Source organism: Homo sapiens, chromosome 1, assembly GCF_000001405.40.
Source record: "Homo sapiens chromosome 1, GRCh38.p14 Primary Assembly".
Classification (NCBI taxonomy): Eukaryota; Metazoa; Chordata; class Mammalia; order Primates; family Hominidae; genus Homo; species Homo sapiens.
In genome coordinates, this window is record NC_000001.11 from 159,060,031 (window position 1) to 159,082,539 (window position 22,509).

The 22,509-nt window shown below is 38.0% G+C and overlaps 1 protein-coding gene and 1 pseudogene across 8 annotated transcripts in view, besides 2 other annotated features; both read right to left on the reverse strand.

Moving 5' to 3' along the window:
- The window catches only part of AIM2 (absent in melanoma 2), a 92,082-nt gene that overhangs the window by 4,980 nt on the left and 64,593 nt on the right, over window positions 1–22,509 (reverse strand). For 2 of the 8 annotated variants that reach the window (XM_047434809.1, XM_047434808.1), the window contains 5 exons: window positions 13,208–13,489; window positions 8,538–8,671; window positions 5,880–6,299; window positions 3,456–3,644; window positions 2,454–2,688 (listed from right to left, as the gene is read on the reverse strand). In XM_047434809.1, the coding sequence (XP_047290765.1) occupies window positions 2,662–2,688; window positions 3,456–3,644; window positions 5,880–6,299; window positions 8,538–8,671; window positions 13,208–13,469 (1,032 nt within the window). In that variant the 5' untranslated portion in view covers window positions 13,470–13,489 and the 3' untranslated portion in view covers window positions 2,454–2,661. The other 6 variants (XR_001737544.2, NM_004833.3, XM_047434811.1 and 3 more) reach the window with 6 other exon arrangements.
- Window positions 7,896–8,285: an enhancer, noted in NCBI's record as "active region_1902". NCBI's record gives its function as "activates an Ori minimal core promoter by ATAC-STARR-seq in GM12878 lymphoblastoid cells {active_cell/tissue: GM12878}" and the evidence as "EXISTENCE:reporter gene assay evidence [ECO:0000049][PMID:35858748]".
- Window positions 17,178–17,477: an enhancer, noted in NCBI's record as "active region_1903". NCBI's record gives its function as "activates an Ori minimal core promoter by ATAC-STARR-seq in GM12878 lymphoblastoid cells {active_cell/tissue: GM12878}" and the evidence as "EXISTENCE:reporter gene assay evidence [ECO:0000049][PMID:35858748]".
- Window positions 20,910–21,663, reverse strand: RAD1P2 (RAD1 pseudogene 2; annotated as a pseudogene).

Genomic DNA, 22,509 nt, shown 5'->3' on the forward strand with positions numbered 1-22,509 from the left:
GACCAGTTTGTATCAAGTGGTTTTGAGGTATGCAATAGCACCAAAGCCGACATTTTAGGTTAAATACCTATATGTGGAATTACTGGGTCAAATAATATGAACATAATTACTAGTAATGTTGCCAAACTGATGTTTCAACTAACACTTCTGAGGACATTTTCCTTAATCATATCATCATCACATTCACAAATCCTGGACATTATTAACCTAACGGATAAGGAATATTCATTGTTTTAAAGTCCCTGATTTCTGTGAGTCTCTTTAAAGTTTCATCTTTCTTATTTATTATAAAAGCAATGAGTATTTATTCCAGAGAAATAAAAAAAAATCAGAATATCAAAAACATCCATAATTCTATCTTCCAACCTGATGCATGTTTTCCATGTTTATCATGGCATAATCTACAAACAATCATACTTATTTCTGTGAATTTTTACAAATGCATGTAGTCATGAAACTACCACAAAAGTTAAGATAGAGAATAGTTTCATCATAACAAAAATTTCCTTCCTGCTGCTTTGTTGCCGGCCTTCCTCTCAACTCCAAGCTCCTAGAAACCACTGATCTAGTCTTTACTATACTTTTGCCCTTTATGGAATGTCATAAAATGAAATTAAAATGTATGTAGAATTTTGAGTCTGGCTTCTTTCACTTAGAGTAAAGATCTATCCATGTAGATGTGGGTGTCAGTAGTTATTCTTTTTATTGCAGAGTACAATTCAATTATGTGGATCTACCAAAGTTTGTTTATTCATTTTTCAGGTGAGGGATAATCGAGTTTTTTGCACTTTTGCATAATTACAAATAAACTTTCATGAATATTTACATGCAGATTTTTGTGTGAACATACATAATTATTTCAAGTGGATAAAAAACTTACAGCAAGCTTGCTGTGTCATGTGGTAAGCATATGTTTAAATTTATAAGAAATTTCCAAACTCTTTTCTAATGTGACTTTTCATTCCCACCAGCAATAAGTAAGAGTTTCAATTGCTCTGTATCCTTCTCAGACCTTAGCATTGTAGATGCATATTAAGTTTTTAAAAATGGACAAACTCTTTTGCATAAAGGTTATACCATTTGACATTCCCACCAGCAGTGCACAAGAGTTTCAGTTTTTCCAAATCTTTGTCAGCACTTGGTATGGGTAATCTATTTTAATTTAAATTTTAGCTGTTCTAATAAATATATAATGGCATCTCACTGTAGTTTTAGTTTCCATTTCCTTAAAGATGAATTATGTTGAGTGTATTTTTATGTGCTTATTTGACATCCATGTATCATCTTTTTGCCCATTTTAAACATTTAATTGGTTGTTCTGCAATTATTGAATTTTGAGTGTTCTTTATAAATTCTGGATACAGGATCTTTTTGTTTTTTGAGACAGAGTCTTACTCTATCACCCAGGCTGGAGTGCAATGGCGCAATCTCAGCTCACTGCAAACTCCGCCTCCTGGGTTCAAGTGATTCTCCTGCCTCAGCCTCCCGAGTAGCTGGGATTACAGGTGCCCACCACCGTGCCCGGCTATTTTTTTTTTTTTTTTTTTTTTTTTTAGTAGAGATGGGGTTTCACCATGTTGGCCAGGCTGGTCTCAAACTCCTGACCTCAGGTGATCCACCCGCCAGGGCCTCCCAAAGTGCTGGGATTACAGGTGTGAGCCACCGTGCCTGGCCTGGATACAGGGTCTTCAGCAGCTGTGTGACTAACAAATATTAAGCCCCAATCTATGGTTTGCCTTTCAATGCTCTTAATGGTACCTTTTGAAGAACAGAAGTTCTTCATTTTGATGAAGTTCAAATTATTAAGCATTTATGTTATGTAGATTGTGCTTTTGGTGTGATATCTAAATCTTTAATCTTTGCCTACACCAAGATCACACAGATTTTCTCCCATGTTTTCTTGTAGAAGTTTTATGGTTTTAGCTGTTTATGAAAAGCCAATGATCTGTTTGGAGTTTATTTTTGTATAAAGAGTGAGGAATGGCTCAGATTCATTTTTTTAAGTATGGATATCTAATTGTTGTTGTAGCTTTTTTTTTAGTCTTTTCTCCACTGAACTGTGTTGTACTTTTGTAGAAATCAATAGACTGTAAATGTGCAAGCCTAGTTTTGGCTCTCTAGTTTTCCATTGGGCTTTATGCTTATTCTTTCTCCAATAACACAAAATTGTGTTATTATTTCTATACCTTTTAAAATATTTCTAAATCATTGCCCTATGGGACAAAATATACATCTTTAATTATTCAGTATCTACTTTCAAATAATACTGCGCTGCTTCACATGTTGTACAGGATCTTCTAACAGTGTACTCCTAATTCTTCCCTCTTGTATTTTGTGCAATTGTTGTCATATAGTTTACTTTTAAATTTGTATAAACATCATATAATACATTGATAAAGTATTTTCGCTTGAGACAAGGGATTGACAAACTAAAGGAGATAGTGGGACTGTAATGAATGAGAAACAGATGTTTATTGTGATCATCTGTTGATATTCTGAATTTGTTTATCCAGCAATTATTCTATCCTAATTTGGTGGAGAGAGGAGCCTGTGAACTGCAGCTTTCAGGTAACTTACAATCTGATTGAAGAGGCTGTATCACATATTCTTCAATTAAATGCTGCTTAGACCAGTTGGCTTGAATTGGTCCTTTTTACTTCTCTATGTTTTTTTTTTGGCCTTAATAACCTGGATGGAGAAAAAAAACATGCAGTCTGAGATGCAGTCGATGAGTGGCCCCTCCACTGTTTGCAGTCACTATGGCCTTCTGAAGTGTATGTATCATCTTCTCATAAAATTATTTTGTTCCCACCCTTCTAATACATTGGTCTGCCTTGGATCATACTCCTGAAGTGAATATCTGACCTGAGAAATACACTCCCACTTAGCAAGGTCACATACGCATATTTCTCAAATCTTGGCCTCCACTCTTACAGAGATAGCAGGCAGTGCAACCAACACTGAGACCTGGGGAAGAGCACCAAGTAGTGGCAGGACACGGGTAGGAGGGTGTGGTGGAAGGTCAAGAGTAGGGGTTTACATGGACTTAACTGCACTGGACTATGGTAGGTGCAGACGTGGTGGGACTGGCTAGGGAAATGTGTCCTCAAAGTATTTATTGTCTGTCTACTTTCAAAGACATTAGTCAGAATGACTTTTCCGACTCTGGGCAAGCTTTCTGCTTTAGACTTGTAGTATAAATAAGGAGCTCTTTTTTGGGCTCTGTGGGCACAACAATATGCGCCTCTGCCTTGAAAAGCCCATGTTCTCTTAACTGTGTATCTAGAATACATGTTTCCTAAGAGGGAGGTTCCTCAGTTCTGTGAGATGAACGTGTACTAAATATCAATGTCTTCCACTCTATATCCTGTTCAATGGCTCCAGTCCGGCTTTCTGATAGAAAACAAAAAATATCACCCCCTTGGAGAGTTGACTTTGTTCCATGCAGTTCCCACCTTTATGGTGCTATGAACTCCAGATGTCAGCTGTAGTTTTTCTCCATTTTTTGACAGTGTGAAGAATGTAAGTCGAACCTTATCTCCTTCCTTACATTTCATTGTGTCCTCGTTTCTAACCCCCAGTACTTCCATTTTCCCAGTGTTGTCACTTAGGTCAAATAATATGTTTTTCTTCTTTTCTGTTACCTATAAAAGAAAATCAACACCCAGCCTCTGATAATCGGATTAATGAATGCCGCATCAGTCACACATCAGACATGCCAGAAGAAGGCTCTAAAAAGAAATCAGTTGATTCTTGAACAACACAGATTTTACCTGTGCAGGTCCATTTATATGGGAATTTTCCTCTGTCTCTGCCACCCCAAGATGGCAAGACCAACCCTCCTCTTCCTCCTCAGTCTACTTAACATCAAGACAATGAGGATGAAGAACTTTATGATGATCTACTTCCACTTAATGAATAGTTAGTATATTTTCTTTTTTATAATTTTATTAATAACATTTTTCTCTAGCTTACTTTTTAAGAATATAGTATATAATATGTATAACACAAAAATATGTGTTAAGTGACTGCTTATGTTGTCCGTAAGTCTTCTGATCAAGAGTAGGCTATTAAGCAGTTAAGTTTTTGGGGAGTCAAAAATTATATGCAGATTATCAACTGCTCAGGGTCAGAAGCCCTAATCCCTACATTGTTCAAGGGACAACTTGAAAAAATGTTTCTGCTTTGAAACTAGCAGGTATATATCTAATAGATGTTAGCAAGTTCACACAGAGGAGGCAGACGTGTCTTACTTAGAACATGTTGTCTCCTATGCCTATCTTTCCAGTCCTAAATTCCCTTCCTTTAGGAGGAGGCCAGGGTGGCCCATAGAAGCAACAACTGCTGGATAGAGAAGATGGAGCTTCTCCAGGGCCAGCAGCCAGATTAGTCAAGGGAAAAAAGAAGACCCTGGGTTGGAAGAGAGCTATTTATTCTATTTGTTTATTTTTTGAAATGGAGTTTCGCTCTTTCACCCAGGCTGGAGTGCGATGGCGCAATCTTGGCTCACTGCAACCTCCAACGCCCTGGGTTCAAGCGATTCTCTTGCCTCAGCCTCCCGAGTAGCTGGGATTATAGGTGTCCGCCAATACACCCGGCTAATTTTTGTATTTTTACTAGAGACAGGTTTTGCCATGTTGGCCAGGATGATCTGGAACTCCTCAACTCAGGTGATCCATGCGCCTTGGCCTCCCAAAGTGCTAGGATTACAGGCATGAGCTGCCGCGCCCAGCCTGAAGAGAGCTATTTAAAACAAGTCCAGGAGAGACATGAGGTAATGATGCAAGACCCAGCCAAGAGTCTAGTAAGTAATCAAAGACAAGAAACAATTCACAATCAAGTCTAGATCCAAAGGGAACAGGAGGTTGGTCAGTTATTTAGGAGATTGATCGTATTTTAGGTTTAATTTTATGGACTAAATCAGTATATATGAGTGGATAGCTGGCCAGATTGAAAGCTGAAAACTGGGATAAAGAACATGACTTTCCTATCCAAGGTCATTTTACACTTGAGTTTTCCAGGAGGACTGGAGAGTCTTCCTATCAATTCCTTCTGAAACTAACCCAGGGCAGCAGAGGTTATTCTGAGGCTCTGAATGCAGGGGCAGCAGGTTCTCTCTCTATGGTTCTTTAGGTCCTGCCCTAGACCAGAAAAAGTCATCCCACAAGGCTAGTTCCCTGAGGCTCAGAATCATAATAAATACTTTATTATTTCTCACTTCTAATAAGTATCCTGGAGGAGCGCCTCTGCCCCGCGGCCCTGTCTGGGAAGTGAGGAGCGCCTCTGCCCGGCCGCCGTGCAACCTTCCAAGTGTGAAGTGACAGCCTTGTGTGTGATCTTTTCTGTCTTCCCCCAGTTTGCATTTTTGACATTAAAGTTTACTTTTTAATTAAAAAAAAAGTCTCCTCAGGCTAACTCTTTCTTCTGTTTTCTTCATTTAATCACAGTTCTTTAATCCTGCCTTGCGTATTGGTTTTTCAGGTCATTAATCTGGTTTATTACTCAACTACACTTACTTTGCATTCACAACAATAGTCACTTAAAATAAAGATAATCACAACTATAGTCACTTAAAATAAAGATAATATGTACAAAGTACAAAAATAATGCAGAAATAAAAATTATGTGAATGAACTAATTCCTTTTTCAGAGGCTACTGGGGTAAGTTGAAATAGGATCGTGACATTTTTGACAATAAAAACAATTTTTGAGTTTTTGTATGAATTTTGGCATGTTTACTCTGCAGCTCTTTAGAACTTTGTATTTTTTTATTTTGTCTATATAGAAAGACATTAAAACCATTTCCAAAGTTTCTTTAAGATCAGATGGGAAATACGTTATTCTTACTAATCAATATGAAATTAGATATGAAAACTTACCTTCTGGACTACAAACAAACCATTCACAATTGTTCCAAGGGGCTGAGTTTGAAGCGTGTTGATCTTCGGGGTTTCACCAGCTTTTCTGATAATGTTCAGCGGGACATTAACCTTTTGGTCAGATTCAGCATCTAACACACGTGAGGCGCTATTTACCTCTAAGAAACCACTGTGCCGATAATATCTTGCTATTATAATTATTCTCTTTGGAATGAATTTATCTTTCAGCAGTGTATTAAAAACTTTTACAAAGAAGAATTCCTTTTCTGTAGCCACTGTAGCATGAAACATCTCCTGCTTGCCTTCTTGGGTCTCAAACGTGAAGGGCTTCTTTGCTTTCAGTACCATAACTGGCAAACAGCGCTTCTGAAACCCTTCTCTGATAGATTCCTGCTGGGCCACCATCTGTTTCTGTTCAGGCTGAAGACAAGAGAAGAAAGATATCAGCTGTGAGTCAAAAAGGTACTATTGAAAGGACCTTACTTCACCTACAGTGCTAAACCTCAGAAAGCCAGCAGAAGATAGGTGGAATCAAGGGAAGAGATACAGAGGGGATACGAAGAGAGTTGAGGCCTAGAACGATCCAGATAGAACAGAGAGTGCAGAAGGAAGATTTCGACTCCTGTATTCAGATAAGACGGTGTAACACGTTTTGGAGGTAGGATCCCTGAAACCAAATCCTTGCTTTGCCATGTACTATATATAAAGACTTCATCAGATTTCTGAAATACTGCTAAGCCTCGGGGTAAATCTGACAAATCTGATTCCATCTTCTATCAATTCCATTCGGGCATGTGTCCTTGTTTCTCTATCCAATACTGTCCTAAATGTTCATTTTACTCTGGTATAAAAGTGAGGGAGCTCAGTGACCAGCACAGGGCTCCCCAAATTCCTAGGGAGCATTGTACATAACAAAATGCAGATTACATTTAATGTGAGTTAAGGGGGAGACCTAGTTCAGAGATCTTATGAGTGAGTTAAAGGAGAAATTTAAAAGGAGAATTAATACTACATTTATGGATTTACCCTTAAATAATGAATTATGCACTAAGGTTTATATTTAAAAAGTACATCTTATTATTTGAAATTATAAAAAAAGAAATAATTTAAATACCTAAAAAATAGATTTGGTTAAATAAAATAGGTATAGTCACAAAAAGATTACTGTGCAAATATTAAAAATGCTTTAGAGAAATATGATAAACTGTTATAACTGATTCAATAAAGGGAAAGGTCCTAAACAGATAAACAATCTGTTTCTTATTGGATAAATAAGCAGTTAAAGCACACACACAAACACACTAGAGAGATATTTACCAACATCAATGTATTTTTTTCCTAGACGATACAATTATAGATAATTTTATTCTCTTCTCTGTGTTTTTTATTTTTCTGAATTAACAGAGATAAGACACCTCTTTTTGGTTTGTTTTGGGAGAAAATACTACTTTTTAAAAGCCACTTGCCATTTAGAACCAAAGGGAAATACAGGGCAAAACAAACAGAGGCATAAAAAGCCAAGCGTAGGAGTCTCTGAAGGGTGTCTCTGATGTGACCTGGAGCTTGGGGCAGTGGAGCTTGGGCCAGTAAGGGGCCCTGATGGGCAGCATAACTGACTGCATTTGGATCAATGCAGGGAAAGGTCAGCTCCACTGAGGTCCACTACAGAAGTCCTTCTCTTTGGTCCATGTATCTTTATTTGGGTCTTCCAGACTGAAAAATGCATATTTTCATTACTGATGAGGGAATCACACCATTTATACTTGAACCTTGTTTTCCTGAAAAATCCAGAAGTTTCTGGGCCAAACCCAGAGGAAATGGTTCCTCTAGACAAAGAGAATGAAGTATATATCATCAGTTTTTAGAGCTCACACAGGTATAAAATAATGTAATACCTGCTTCATAGGAAATGAAACTGCATGTGTGGTGGATTCTGTGCTGGGCCTTTCTAACGTTGTCTGCCACTCCCTCAGGACTAAAGTAATCATTCTCACCAATGACACTCTCCAGCCACTACTCTCTCAGCTAAATGGGGCCACCTCACCTTGTCCATGCAGGTGTATAAAGGGCTTTTTTACATTACTTTTAAAAAAGCAATTTGCTGTCAAGAACCAAGCAGAAAACAAACAGAGGCATGCCAGACCGAGTGTCAGAGTCTCTGAATTGGATCTCTGATGTGACCCAGAGCCTGGGCCTGTACAAACCACAGACTCCCTCACAAATCTTGGGAGCCCTGAAAGACATTCTCAGCTCCCGAGCTCCCTGTAGGGTAGGCCAAGGCCTCTATTGCAACTACATTGGACTTGACATTCTTCCTCTTCTTCTCCTTTCACTTCCTCACAGATATTAATTCTGAAAGTGCTCTAAAATAGACTTCCTGTAAACAACGGTCTATCTCAGAGTTTTCTTCTTATAGAATCCAAAACATAACAAAGTGTTAATGTGTCCAGAACCTGGCAGAGATTAGAAGCTCAACAGGTGTTTAATCTGATGAATCAAAGGTAGTTCCTGTTTTTGTGACTCAGAATGCTTTTCATGCTGTGGCCTTGCTTCCCTTATTTGCATGCTGTGAGATAAAGAACAGAGAACAATATGGGAAGTGACAGTGACAGTGATGCTCTTACAAGGACAAAGACCACTCCACTCTCCTTATCCTACCTTAACATGAGGAGAGACTTTTGGTGCAGCACGTTGCTTTGCGACATCATTTCTGATGGCTGCAGATGCAGCAGGACTCATTTCAGCTTGACTTAGTGGCTTTGGTTTTGTTACCGATTTGTATTGCTTATCAACTGATTAAAAAATGAAAGACATGGCCAATAAGCATATAAACATATGAGCAGTGCACATTTTCAAATGTCACCAGGAATAAATACTAAAACCATATTAAGATATCTTCAAGAACAGCTAATTTTTCTTAAAAAAAAATCATATTTTAAAATGAAAGAAACTGGACCTGGCACAGACACCAGTAATCCCAGCACTTTGGGAGGCCAAGGCTGGAGGATCACTTGAGGCCAGGGGTTTGAGACCAGCTTAGTCAACATAGGGAGACCCTATCTTTACAAAAAATATTTTCAAAATTAGCCAGGTATAATGGCACATGTTTTTAGTCCCAGCTACTTGGGAGGCTGAGGCAAGGATAACTTAAGCCCAGGAGTTCAAAGCTGCAGTGAGTCATGATTGCACCACTGCACTCCAGCTTGGATGACACAGTGAGACCCTGTCTGTCTCAAAAAAAAAAAAAAGACAAGAAACAAAAACTATGAAGTAGTAGTCGTCTTAAATTGGTATAACACTTTGGAAAATGGTTTGGGACGCTATTTATTAAAATTCAATATCTACTTACCTTAACATCCAGTAATACCATTCACAGGTGTACAGTCAAGAGAAACACACATACAAATACAAACATACAAAGATAAGTATATAAGGCTTATAATGTACATAAATATTCATAGCAGCATTATTCATAATGGCCTCCAATGACTAAAATAACAATAAAAATACACCAATTCTCTCTCTCTATATATATGTATATCAGTTTATGTGTATATGTAATTATCAATTAAATGGAATCTTATGTAGTAGTGAAAATGAATAAACTGCTGCTATGAAACAAGGGCTGATTTCTTTCTTTTTTTTTTTTTTGAGACGGAGTCTCACTCCGTCACCCAAGCTGGAGTGCAGTGGCGCAATCTTGGCTCACTGCAACCTCTGCCTCCTGGGTTCAAGTGATTCTCCTGCCTCAGCCTCCTGAGTAGCTGGGATTACAGGCTCATGCCACCACGCCTGACTAATTTTTGTATTTTTTTAGTAAAGATGGGGTTTCACCATGTTGTTAAGGCTGGTCTTGAGCTCCTCACCTCGTGATGCGCCCACCTCAGCCTCCCAAAGTGTTGGGATTACAGGCGTGAGCCACCGCGCCTGGCCACAGATTTCTAATTATGTTCTACAAGGCCTTGCATTTTCCTTCTGTCGAGGGGACCCCATCCTGCCCTCTGAAGATTCTCTGTACTGCAGCCATACTGGCCTTCTTTCAGTCCTCAAGCAAGTCAACACCTGCTGTCAGAGGGATTTTCACACAGTGTTCCCTCTGACTGAAGGTACCTTTAACTCCTATGCATTTTTCACAGCTTAGTGCAAGTCACTTCCCCATGGAACCCGCTTTGACCAACACCAACTCTAACTCCTGGCTTATGTTAATGCTCCTTTGACACATGCTGCTGAAGAACCATCTTCCTTTCCATCAGAACATTTGTCTCAGTTAGTTACCTGTCTCAGTTAATTTGCCTGTAAGAAAAATATCTACTTTCCCTTTAGAGTATAAACTGTACAAAATTTGGATTTGTTTTTAAAACCTTGTTTTATCATAAGAACCTAAAAGCTTTCCTTGTACCTATTAGCAATTCAATGGATATTTACTGAATGGATGAAGAAATGGATGGATGGGTGGCATGTTGGCTCCTCACTAATGCCTACAAAATGCAGTCGTATACTCTGGCTGGGCTCCTCCACGTCTATGGTCAGGTTATATGTTATCGTGAAAAGCCAACTCCTACTCCTGATTTTTAAAAAGACCATGTAACAAGATGGCCATGTTTGATGACTTAAGGCACTCTCAGGCAGAAGAGGGCCTGGGAAATTATTAGATGTTATTTCTGATAGAATTTGAACAATTCTGGACTGAAATAGCAAGGCAATCACTGATTTTACTAAAAAGAGAAACGATTTAATTATTAGAGCTAAGAGTAGAATGAACTGTCTTATGAGGTAGTAGGTACTCTGTCATTACCTTTCAAAGATCAGAAAGTGGTTGACTGTCTGACAGGGATATTGTAGCAGGATCTCTGCACTAGGAAGAAGTTAAACTAACCTTCCAATGGTAAGTTAGTTCCATGAAATTGGTTTCAGAAAGGTATGCAGATAAAGTCTCTCTTCTATGTTCACAGCATCGGAGAGAAAACAGCATCAAGGGAGGCGGAAGGAATCAACCTACCATTCTACCACATCACATCAGCCATATTTCATTTCACACACTGTGGTACCAATGCAATATTTGTGGACAAGCTTGTCTGCCAATTATAAATCTCTCATTTGCCTTAATAATCAGGTGCACATTGTTACTGATTATTTCATTTATCATTTTCAGCATTTTATTTTAATCTTGCAGGACTTTTGTGGACTTTGATCACATTTTCTCTTAGCTTCCTTTTTCTACGCTTATGTGTCCTTATATTTTCTCATCTTGCTTCATACAAAAGCTTCTCCTGTCTACTAATTATTGCCTCTGTCTTCATTAAAGATTCTCCAGGTATCTTCTACCTTCCATGAGGTGAGGTCATGAGTAGAATAGCATATAGCACTCTACATGCAGACATGCAATGGCAATGGAGAAGGATCACTTAACCAAGAATGACAGATTAACTGTTCAAAAAATAAAACAAAAACTGTTTTCCTAAAATAATAGAAATAGCATGGACACACAAAAATTTCCTACATTCAAAAGCGGCCTAAGTATGTCCGTGGATAGAATTTTAGAGCTATGAAGGAACTTAACTGCCTTCTTGTATAGCATGCAAGAAGCATACTTTGTGTTTTGTTGTTGTTGTTGTTTGAGACAGGGTCTCACTGTTGTTGCCCAGGCAGGAGTGCAGAGGTGTGATCTCAGCTCACTGCAACCTCTCCCTCCCAGGTTCAAGTGATTCTCGTGCCTCAGCCTCCCAAGTAGCTGGCATTACAGATGCCCGCCACCATGCCTGGCTAATTTTTGTATTTTTAGTAGAGACAAAGTTTCACTATGTTGGCCAGGCTGATCTCGAACTCCTGAACTCAAGTGATCCACCCGCCTTGGCCTCCCAAAGTGCTGGGATTAAAGGCGTGAGCCACTGCGCCTGGCCCAAAAGCATACTTTGAATCCTACAACTGTTACATTTGGAGACTCTCATTTGGGAGAGTCCTTGGATAATCTACTCCTGAGTTTCCAAGCTAGTCCCAAACTGGATCTTTTTTAGCTAAGCAGAATAACAAAATCCCAGAATCATTAGAATAGCAAAATGGGGAGAAGATTGTAGAAGGGGAAATTTTGTTCTATCCTGGTCAAAGAGAAGAATTAATTCTTGATTTATTACCAAAATAAAAGATATTTCTAAATATCTCAGCCTATGTTTGCCAATATGCCTAGATTCCTGGCTCATCCCAGATAAGAAAAACACAGGGCAATGTTTTGGTTGGTTACTTGGAAGTAACATGTGTAGTTACTGCCATCTAAGGGCCATCTCTAAGAACTACACCTTCTAACTTAAAGCCTGGGAAAACCACCACTCCTTTCTCTTTAGTGCCTTAGAAACTACCTAACAGTTTATATCTGTATAGAATTATGAATGTACATAGTATCACTTATGTGGCTTCATTTAGCCTTCCTATAACTCATGTGTGAGAAGCCATGTCACCCTTGTTGTACACCCACAAATGCTACTAAAAGCTATTATAATTTTTGCTGCTACTGTTGTACTTTGAATCCTAAAACTGTTGCATTTGGAGACTTTCATTTTGGAGAGTCCTTGAGTGATATGCTCCTCTGTTAGCTCCTTTTTGTTCTTCAGACATAAAGCTGGGACATATCAATTGTTCTTAGTAAACAAAATCAGGAATTTAAACTAAATGTAGATAATTCAGATGGAGATGAGTGATTTATTGAATAATGTAAAAAAAATCTTTGTGTTGTGGGTAATTTATACTGTCACCTGTACTGGAGATAGAGAGGAAAGAAAATCCCTGAAGGTGGATTCTCCCTCCCTTCTGAAGAAGGAGGAGATCATCGCCTAAAGAAGGATAGTCTGGGACCACAGAAAGCTGGGGACAAGGAGAGGAATAGACAGACTGTGTGAAGGAAAAAAGGTGCTCAATATCCTGGTTTACAGTTTTCCAATGCAATAATTTATACTTTCAAGACTTCAGTAGAATGTGACAGCATTACATACTGTGTAAATGGAGTTGGGAGAAGTTAACTTTGAAATTCTACGTCCATATTCACTGCAACTGAACTGGAGACAAAGATGGGCAAGGAGAAAAGATGTTAAATGGAAGTGGTAACCCTAAGGCTGGAAGAAGAGATGCAAACAAAGGCTGGAATGGATTTGTGGAATTTGTAACAAACACTTCCTAGAAGCGATTCTCAGTAAAAGGGGGCAAAGAGACAGGTGCACTAAGTTAGCAAACAAATTCCAACAATGTGCACTGGGGGTCATATCCCAGGGATGCCATGAAAGGAAAGGCCCAGGCTTGGCAGAAAAAGGGACGGGGCAGGTGTGGAACTCCCACATTACCTTTCTCCTTCTCCTCCTGAAGACGTTTTGCCAAAAGCATATAATTCAACTTCTGAAAAATACGAATGGTCTTCATCACTGCAGACACCGCCCCAGCATTTTGAATCATCAAGGTAGCTACTTGTATTCTGTTTGCAGTATGTAGTTTGCCTGTGGCAATATTAAACTCGTCTGAAAGAAAGAACTTAAACCTATCCAGTTCCTCATCAGTGATGTTATCCAGGCCTGTTAGCAAGAGTATCTCCTTGTATTTACTCTCCATCTGACAACTTTGGGATCAGCCTATAAGGAATCCAAAACATGTAAGATTACACCACCAAAAGTGATTCTACATTCAAAATAAAGCAAGGTGAGCTATTAATATTTTTTAAAGAAAAATAAAATATTTGCAGTAGTAAAAGAGATTTGAGTAGGACATAGGTAAGAACTTCTTAAGCAAGGTGATCACTACTCCTGGGAAAGACATCTTCAGAAAGTATACAACACCTCTGGAATTCTCAGAAAACAAGATACATTAGCTGGGCGCGGTAGCTCACGCCTGTAATAATCCCAGCACTTTGGAAGGCCAAGGTGGGCGGATCACCTGCGGTCAGGAGTTTGAGACCAGACTGGCCAATATGGCAAAACCCCATCTCTACTAAAAGTACAAAAATTAGCCGAGCATGGTGGTGGGCGCCTGTAATCCCAACTACTCAGGAGGCTGAGGCAGGAGAATTATTTGAACCTGGGAGGTGGAGGTTGCAGTGAGCCAAGATCGCGCCATTGCACTCCAGCCTGGGCAACAGGAGCGAAACTTCATCTCAAAACAACAACAACAACAACAACAAAAAGGAAACAGGATACATTTTCCTGTTATTTTTAAAATAGATTTATCGAGGCATAACTGGCATACAACACGGTGCATACACTGGAAGTATACAATCTGATAAATTTTGGCATATACATATACCTGATGAAGTGCAATTAATCAATCTGTTCTTTCATGGATCATGCTTTCAGTGTCTTATTTAAGAAATCTTTTCCAATCTCAAGATTAGAAGATTTTATGTCTTCCTGTAAGAATTTTACGGTTTGATCATTTCACATTTGGCTGTATGTACTGCTTTGAGTTAATTTGTATATGATATAAGTGATGATTCAAAGTTCATTTATTTTTCATATGAATATGAATTTTCCCAGAATCATATGTTAAAAAGACTGTCATTTTTAATGATTTTTTTTTTTACCTTTGCAAAAATCAGTTGTCCAAATATGAGTGAGTCTATTTCTGGATTCTTTATTCTGTCCATCAACCTATTTTTGTAACTTGTTGCCAAAATCACGTTGTAGTAATATAGTTGTTTATGTATAGTATCCAAAATAATACACAAAACATTATAAATAATAATTCAACAGTTTATAACTATAAGATTAATATACAGAAATGCATTCCTTTATTTTAGTACCACTCCAAGAGAGAAAAAAATTACATAAAAAAAGTAATTTCCAATAGCAACAAAACTACAAAGTACATAAGAACATCGAATACAATATATTTAAGAGTTTTAAAGGGAAACTTATAAAACTTTATTGGGAGATTTAAAGGACCTACTTAAGTGGGTGTATGTCTGATATTTTAAATGGGAAGATTTGATAAAATGAAGACAGCAGTGTTGTCAAATTAATCTATAAACTCCTATCCAAAATCTCAAAGGGTTTTTCATAGAATTTATCAGAATGATCCTAAAACCTAAATGAAAAAAATAAAGACAAAAACCTGCAAAACAAGTTGAATATGTTTATCAGGATGTACTATCCCTACTACTAGGTATCAATACTTACTACAAATGTATAATTATTAAATCAGTATGGCAGTGGCGTAGAAAAAAATGAACTAATAAATAGAGTGTGGAAACAGGACCACATGTAAATTAAAGCTTGGTATATAATCAAAGTGGCATTAAAAATCACAAGGAAAGAATGGCCAACTATAAAAAGTGTTCAGACAAATGACAATACACAGGGAATGATATATTCAGCCTTTCTCTTATATCATACACAAAATATATATCTGGTTGGATTAATTATCTAAATAGAATAGTAATGATGTTGAATAAAACACAGAATTTCTCAATACATTGAAGTAGAAGGAGGTTCCTTAAATAAGGCACAAAAAGGACAAGCCAGAAAAAAAAAATTTGTCAAATGTGATTGCATGCATATTCTCAATTTCTTTGTAGGAAACACACACATCCGTGCACACACACACACTAAACAAAGTGATTATACAAGGCAAAAACTGGGCAGATACCTGCAATACACACACACACACACACACACACACACACACACACACACATATATATATGGCTATACCTGCTATATATATATATATAGAGAGAGAGAGAGAGAGAGAGAGCTAATAGAGGTTTTGCTTTTGGAATACATGGAGAACCATGTATCAATAAGAAAACAACAGTCTATTTGAAAAGTGTGCAAAAGATGTGAATGAGCAATTTGCTCAAATATCCAATAAACATAAAAAAGATGTTTGACATTATTAGCAATTAATGACTTCCAGAGCAGCAACATATAAAGTGGAAGAAATAAGCCAAAGAACAGGAAAAGATGTTTATGAGCTGAAAATAACTGATTGTGAATTTTAGGGAAGCTTGAATACCCCCATCAGTAGAGTCAATGTTAATAAATTCTAAACTATCACTGTTAATGGCCTTATAATGTTTTTTCCTATATGTTGGTAAGCGCTGGAGAAACTCTACTTATACATGTAGAGTTCATGAGTGAAAATTAAAACTATTATCAGGACCATTTTCAAAATAAGGAATACATTAAAAATATTTGCAATGATAAAGCCATCCAAATGCCCCCATCCTACTGATGAAAGCAAGGAAGGACACTACCTTTGTTGAATATCTACTGTGACAATCAGCTTGGATGATTCCTACTTTTCTACTTGTCCATAAGAAGCTAATCTTCCTATAACCCTCTTATATAATAACAATCACATTTTAATCACATTTTATGTGATTGACTCAGTTTTTTCTCTGAAGTTATGTTGCCTTATAAATGAAAAACTTGCATTTTACTTCATAATATCTGTTAACTTAAAAAATGCTTGTATTTGCTATTGGCATAAAAGTCAGCCTTACAAATAGGCTGATAGACAAACCCCAAAGGAAGCCGAAGCTTAAGGAACACCAGCTCAGAGACACCAGAGGACATGGCTAAAGTGAATAAAAGAGAAATGAACCCATCCTTTCAGAGCTGATGTCCATGTTTGCAGGTTCAGGTTCTCAGAGGTGTGCACAGCATGGCTGGCCTTTCCTCAGTTGTCTTTTTCAGCAGAGAAACGGTTAAGTCTCTCGTCTCTAACCCAGCTCCTCTATGGTGCTTACCTCCTGATCCCTGGGGCGATCAGCAAACCGGGTCTGCCACCTTCTTTTCAGAGAGCTTAACTAGCAGAGGACTCAGGAGAGCATGCCCAAATAACCTAGGTGACTTTCAAAGCTACAAAGACTCTGACACTTCTGGACGGCTTCACATGTACCCCTAATAAACACTTCCCTTCACCCCCAGGCCCAGTGTGGGTAGGAGTGACAACTGGAGCTCTAATTGGCTGAGCTGGTTTGGGTTCTCACTAGCAGCCACAGAAGAAAATGTCTATAGAAACTTGTATCTGAGTCATGCCACATAGGAACTACACTGATTGGAAACAGAAAGTGGCCTAGAAACTGTAAAAAATGACCGCAGATGACTTCTTGATACACTTTGTGACTAAGGGGCCTGGTGATGACATTTTTCTGGTATAAACAAGCACACTGATCTCAGAGGGTATCTAAAAGTGTTGCCAGTAGGGCAGTGCAGGTTCTTGTCTTCAAAGCATAAGAGAATCTGAAAATGAGACCCAAGCGAAAGTATAGACATTTTATTGTGGAGCAAAACCAACGACACCCTCAAGGGAGGAGTGCAGGCACTCAAAGATTTGAGTCACAGGCAATGTGGTTCACGTACTATATGAATAAGCACAATGAAGGTATGGAGTACTCTGTAATCAAGGGGAGGGGTTTTCTGGGAAATGGGCGGGCAATTCCCGGAATCGGGGTGCCACCCTTTTCTTGACTAAAGATGGTTAATCCGGAACTGTCATGGCGTCAGGTGCATGATGGGAGTGGGAATTTCCCCATGGAAGTTTTATGATATTAAGGGCATAATGAAGCTAAGGGTCAGCAGTCAGCCAAGTTTTCGACCATCTTGGCTTTAACCAGTTGCGGCCAGTTTCTTCTGTGTTACATTCTCATCTGTGCCTAAGTAGGAAGTTTGCAATCTGTCTTCATTGTCACAGGCTGTTGTAACAGTTCCTATCTACTAGTGGGGCAATCCCTCTGCTAACCTTTTTGACCGCATTTTTATTGCTTGTAGCCACCTGCAAGTAATCATGCCTCATTCCCTCACTGACTGCTTGCCTCAAAAGCATATATACAGTCTTTCTTCCTAACCCAGGCTCCTAACCCTAAATTCAGAGCTTGAGGGCTTGATTCTAGTCAGCAATTTACTTGAGGTTTTCCTTTCTTATTCATTGAATTAACAATTATGCACTGAACATCTAATATGATGTATTAGATTCTGAGAATATAAAAGTTAGTAAGACAAAGTTCCAGATGTTGAGCGGCTCTGCCAAGTCATGAAAACAGACATGTGATTTAATAATCACAATAGGACATGATGATAAGTGTTATAATTAAAGCATGCTCAAGATGCTCAAGGAGCAGAGGAAGAGCACCTAACCATGCCCAGGTAATCAGCCCAGAGCTGCAGGACCTCCTTCACTTTCTACTGCAAGGCTTGTTTCTACACTTTTGCCAGCTTTCAGCTCAAATAGCACCTTATCTGTGGGGCTTCTCTGACCAGCATGTTCTCTACCTCTTCCCCACATTATCTTTTCCCACACGTGTTACTGACCATCATCTGACATACGGTATATGTCATTTGTTTGTTTATTCTCTGCCTCATGCTCCTAAAATGTAAGGCACATGAGGGAAGAGATTTCTGCCCACTGGCTCACTGCATCCACTTCACCTGACACAGTGCCAGGCACAGAGAAGGTGTTCAGAAAATATTCGTTGAATGAGTGAATGCATGAATGAGTGGATCACACAAGGCGAAAGAACACCAAAGAGAACAATATGTAAGAATTAAAAAGATGTGAAGTGTATGAATTTGGTAACCTACTGAGTAAACGAGAGAAAGCTCCCTGTTGAGGAAGAACCCAACAAGCACCAACCCCAGAGAGGCGTACTGATTTGAGGCTTCAGGTCCTGTAAAAGGTGAGTTAAGTGATTAAGCTGGGAAGTGGTCTCAATGAGGAGCAGGTACACTGCTGCACCTGGGGCAGAGAGACAAGTACTCATCGTCCAGCTTTGTTTTACCAAGAAATTTAATCAGAGAGATACCCAACTTGGTGACACAAGACACAGAAGGGAAAGGAGGCAACTGTGCTGAAAAAGGAGGTTTGTTAACAGTCTCACGGAGAAAAGTGGGATCCCCAAGCCCTTTCCTCCCTGACTTCTAGAGTACTGACAGCAAGGTTTATGCCATAAGCAGAAGACTGGAGGCTCCTACTGTAGCAACTGGCCCAAGAAGGGAAAAACTCTCACCGTTACTGACATTTTGAGTTTTCCAATACAAAGACTCAGGCCCTTTCGTGCCAATCCTATAATTAAACTAACTCATAAATAAACCAGGCCAACGCAAAAAGAATTCAAGTCAGTTTTGTGTGTATACATGTATGGACATTTCTTTCTTAAATATGAGTAAACAGACATAAATAACATTCAGAAAAGCCTCCAACTTAAAAAAAAAACAGAAAACAAATCAGAAGAAGGAACTTAAGGACAAAGCAGAGGGTAGAAGAAGAAATATATATGGTCATCAGAGAGATAAGAAAAGACATTGCATCCATGAAACAAAAAGACAGTGCTAATACTTGTAAAAAATGAACAAATTACAGAAGAGATTTTATAAATATATTTTCTAAATGTGATAGCAGAAAAGTTTTAAAGCTAATAGAGTGATAAAGCTGAAGATCTCTTTCTAAAAGTATGCCTAGAAAAGAATAAAATGGAAAAACAGGAGAGAAAAAAAATAAGAAATATACAGGTTTATGCCCCGATGAATAATAACCAGCTAATAAGCATTTAAACAAGAGCGAATGGAGAAAAAAGCAAGTTATCAAATAAATACCGAATTTGATGAATGAGAAAGAACACACACAAAAGCATGTCACTTTGCATTTTTTTTCCAGTTTTTTTCTTTTTAGTAGACTTTATTTTTTAAAGCAGTTTTAGGCTCACAGTAAAATTGAGCTGAAGGTACAGGTTTCCATATACCCTTTTCCCTCACACATGCACAGCCTCCCCATTATCAACATTCCCACCAGGGTGGACTGAGCATGACACATCATTATCACCCAGACTCCAGAGTTGCCACTAGGGTACACTTGGTGTTGTACATTCTGTGGGTTTGGACAAATGTATAATGAGTATCCACCCTCACAGTATCATACAGGGTGGTTTCCCTGCCCTAAAATCCTCTGTGCTCTGTCTAGTCATCTCTCTCCCGACAAATCCTGGCAACCACTGATCTTTTTACTGTCTCTATAGTTTTGCTGTTTCTGGAATTTCATATAGTTGAAGTCATACAGTATATAGCCTTTTCAGATTGTCTTCTTTCACTTGGTAATCTGCATTTAAGATTCCTCCATGGTTTTTCATGGCTTGATGGCTCATTTCTTTTTAGCACTAAAAAATATTCCATTGTCTCCATTTATCTGTTTATCCATTCACCTACTGAAGAACACGTTGGTTGCTTCCAAGTTTTGGCAATTACGAATAAACCTTCTATAAATATCTGTGTGCATGTTTTTATGTGGACTTAATTTTTCAACTTTGGGTAAATATCAAGGAATGCAATTGCTGTGTTGTATAATAAGATATAATAAGAGTATGTTTAGTCTTGTAAGAAACCACTAATTGGTTTTTAATACAATGATTTGGTCAATAAATGTTTATGAGCAAACGAAAGGTATCTAATAAGTACTGCATTGAACAGTTTTAAGAATAAGGAGAAAATCTATGACTCTGAAGACTTTCATATCTTGTCCATAGATTTCTTAAAAAGGTATACTTTAGAAATACATCATATAAAGAATTGTTCAGACTTGTTTAGTGATGCCTCAATTTCAGAACTTTTGTAAAGAAATCACAAGTAAAAGCAAACACCTCAATGCAATTAAATGCTAATTTTAAAAAATGTATCCTTTAAACAGTGGTTTCCAAACTTTAGCATGCATTAGAATTTCCTGGGGGAAGCTTGTGAAAAATACGGATTTTAGGCCTCACCCCCAGCATTTCTGACAGGTTCCTGGGTGATTCTGATGCTGTTGGTCTTGACACAACACTTAGAGAACCACTGCTTTAATATCTAATCTCTGGCATTTAAACTAATAAGCAATGTCCATATGCCTTTGCATTTTCTAATAGTAAATAAACAAAAGAACAGTTCTGATATGCCTTCAACAAACTTTAAATCTTCAGACTCTTGAAATGTTTTACTTAAGTGGAATAGAACCTATAACTTATTCATCTTGGCTCACAGTGATTCCCATGAGTTCAAAAGACAGAGCCACAGGCCAGTCTAATACTAGATAATCTATGACTTCATGAAAGCATTTGTTCACAAAATACATAACTATTAGGGTACAGGGACCTTGCTTTTATCTTCTCCATGCATCTTCTCTACAGAAAATTCAATAAGAAATTATGAAGATTTTTATACTCATAATGATAACTCAACTTATCATGAATGTACACATAAATATCACAGTGAATCATCATACTCAAGACTCAGATTCAGGAACTTCATCATCAGGGCAACAGTAATATTCCACAAAAGATATTTGCCCCCCTTCATTCTAAAAATATACCATAATGAAAGAAATCCTGTTATTTGTGTGAATAAAATACCTTACAAGATAGGACTAACGTTTTTGTAAAGGGGATTAGCAAAGAAATAAAATCTGTTGACCTGGGTCTGATTACAATGAAATGCTTGCACCACATAAAAATCTTTGGAAGTCAAATTGCAAACTTTCTAAATTTTCAAAAGTAGATAACCTGAAATAATGCTTGTCAGGAGACATGATAATCTGTAGGACCTCAGTCGTCACATCCAATCTGGGAAATGCTTCAGAGCCCCTCTGACTGCAGAATAATTTTATTAATAACATTGGTGCTGCAGAAGTCAAAATCCAGAGGCTCCTCAGGCTCTTGAGTATTGATTTTGCAGTCTGTCACCATTCGTCTTTCTTCCAAAAATAGCATCCAAGGGTCACCATAACCTTGGTAACACATTCAAAGTGCAGTTAAAATCCCTGGCATAGGACTTGATCCAAAAATAAAAGGACAATTAAGTTAACTTTAAAAAAAGTCTAAAAGGACAATTAAGTTAACTTTAAAAGTAACAGACTCTTCCTGACACGTAAACTCTTAAAATACTCCAGCCTTTGCAGTGTGGCCCAGATGCTAGAAAGCCCTTCCCAGCCAAGTCCCTGGGGAAGTAAGCTCCAGCTCCCTGAAAACAGGAGGCAGTGAAGCACTCTTAATTTTTGTTTTCAATTTCATTGATTTCAGCTCTAATTTTTTAAAACTGTATTTTCTTATGCTTACTTTGCAGTTAATTTACTCTTATTCTTCTAGTTTCCTAATGTGGGAGCTTAGATGATTGATTTTTAGGTCTTTCTTTTTTTCTAGCCACATGCTTTTAAAATTACAAAACACCAAGGAGAGAGAAGATCCTAAAAGCTTCCTGAGAAAGAATAGATCATATCTGAGGATTAGGAATAAGAATAGAATTGGCATTCTTGACAACAACACTAGAAGCTAGAAGAGAGTGGAGCAATTCCTTTAACATTTGAGGAAAACAATTTTCAGCCTCGTCTTCTATACCTAGCTGATAATTATAATAATCACATGTACATGTAAGGAAGGAACAAAATTATTCAGGAATCTCCATGTCTCAGTTTGTTTGGGCCTCTATAACAAAAATACTATAGACTAAGTGACTTATAAACAACAATTTATATACACATTTATTTCTCACAATTCTGGAGGCTGGGAAGTCCAAGATCAAGGTACCAGCATATTCAGTACCTGGTGAAGACTTGCTTCCTGGTTCAAAGACAGCCATCTTTTTTCTTTTCTTTCTCTCTTTCTTTTTTTTAAAGGCAAGGTCTTGCCATGTTGCCA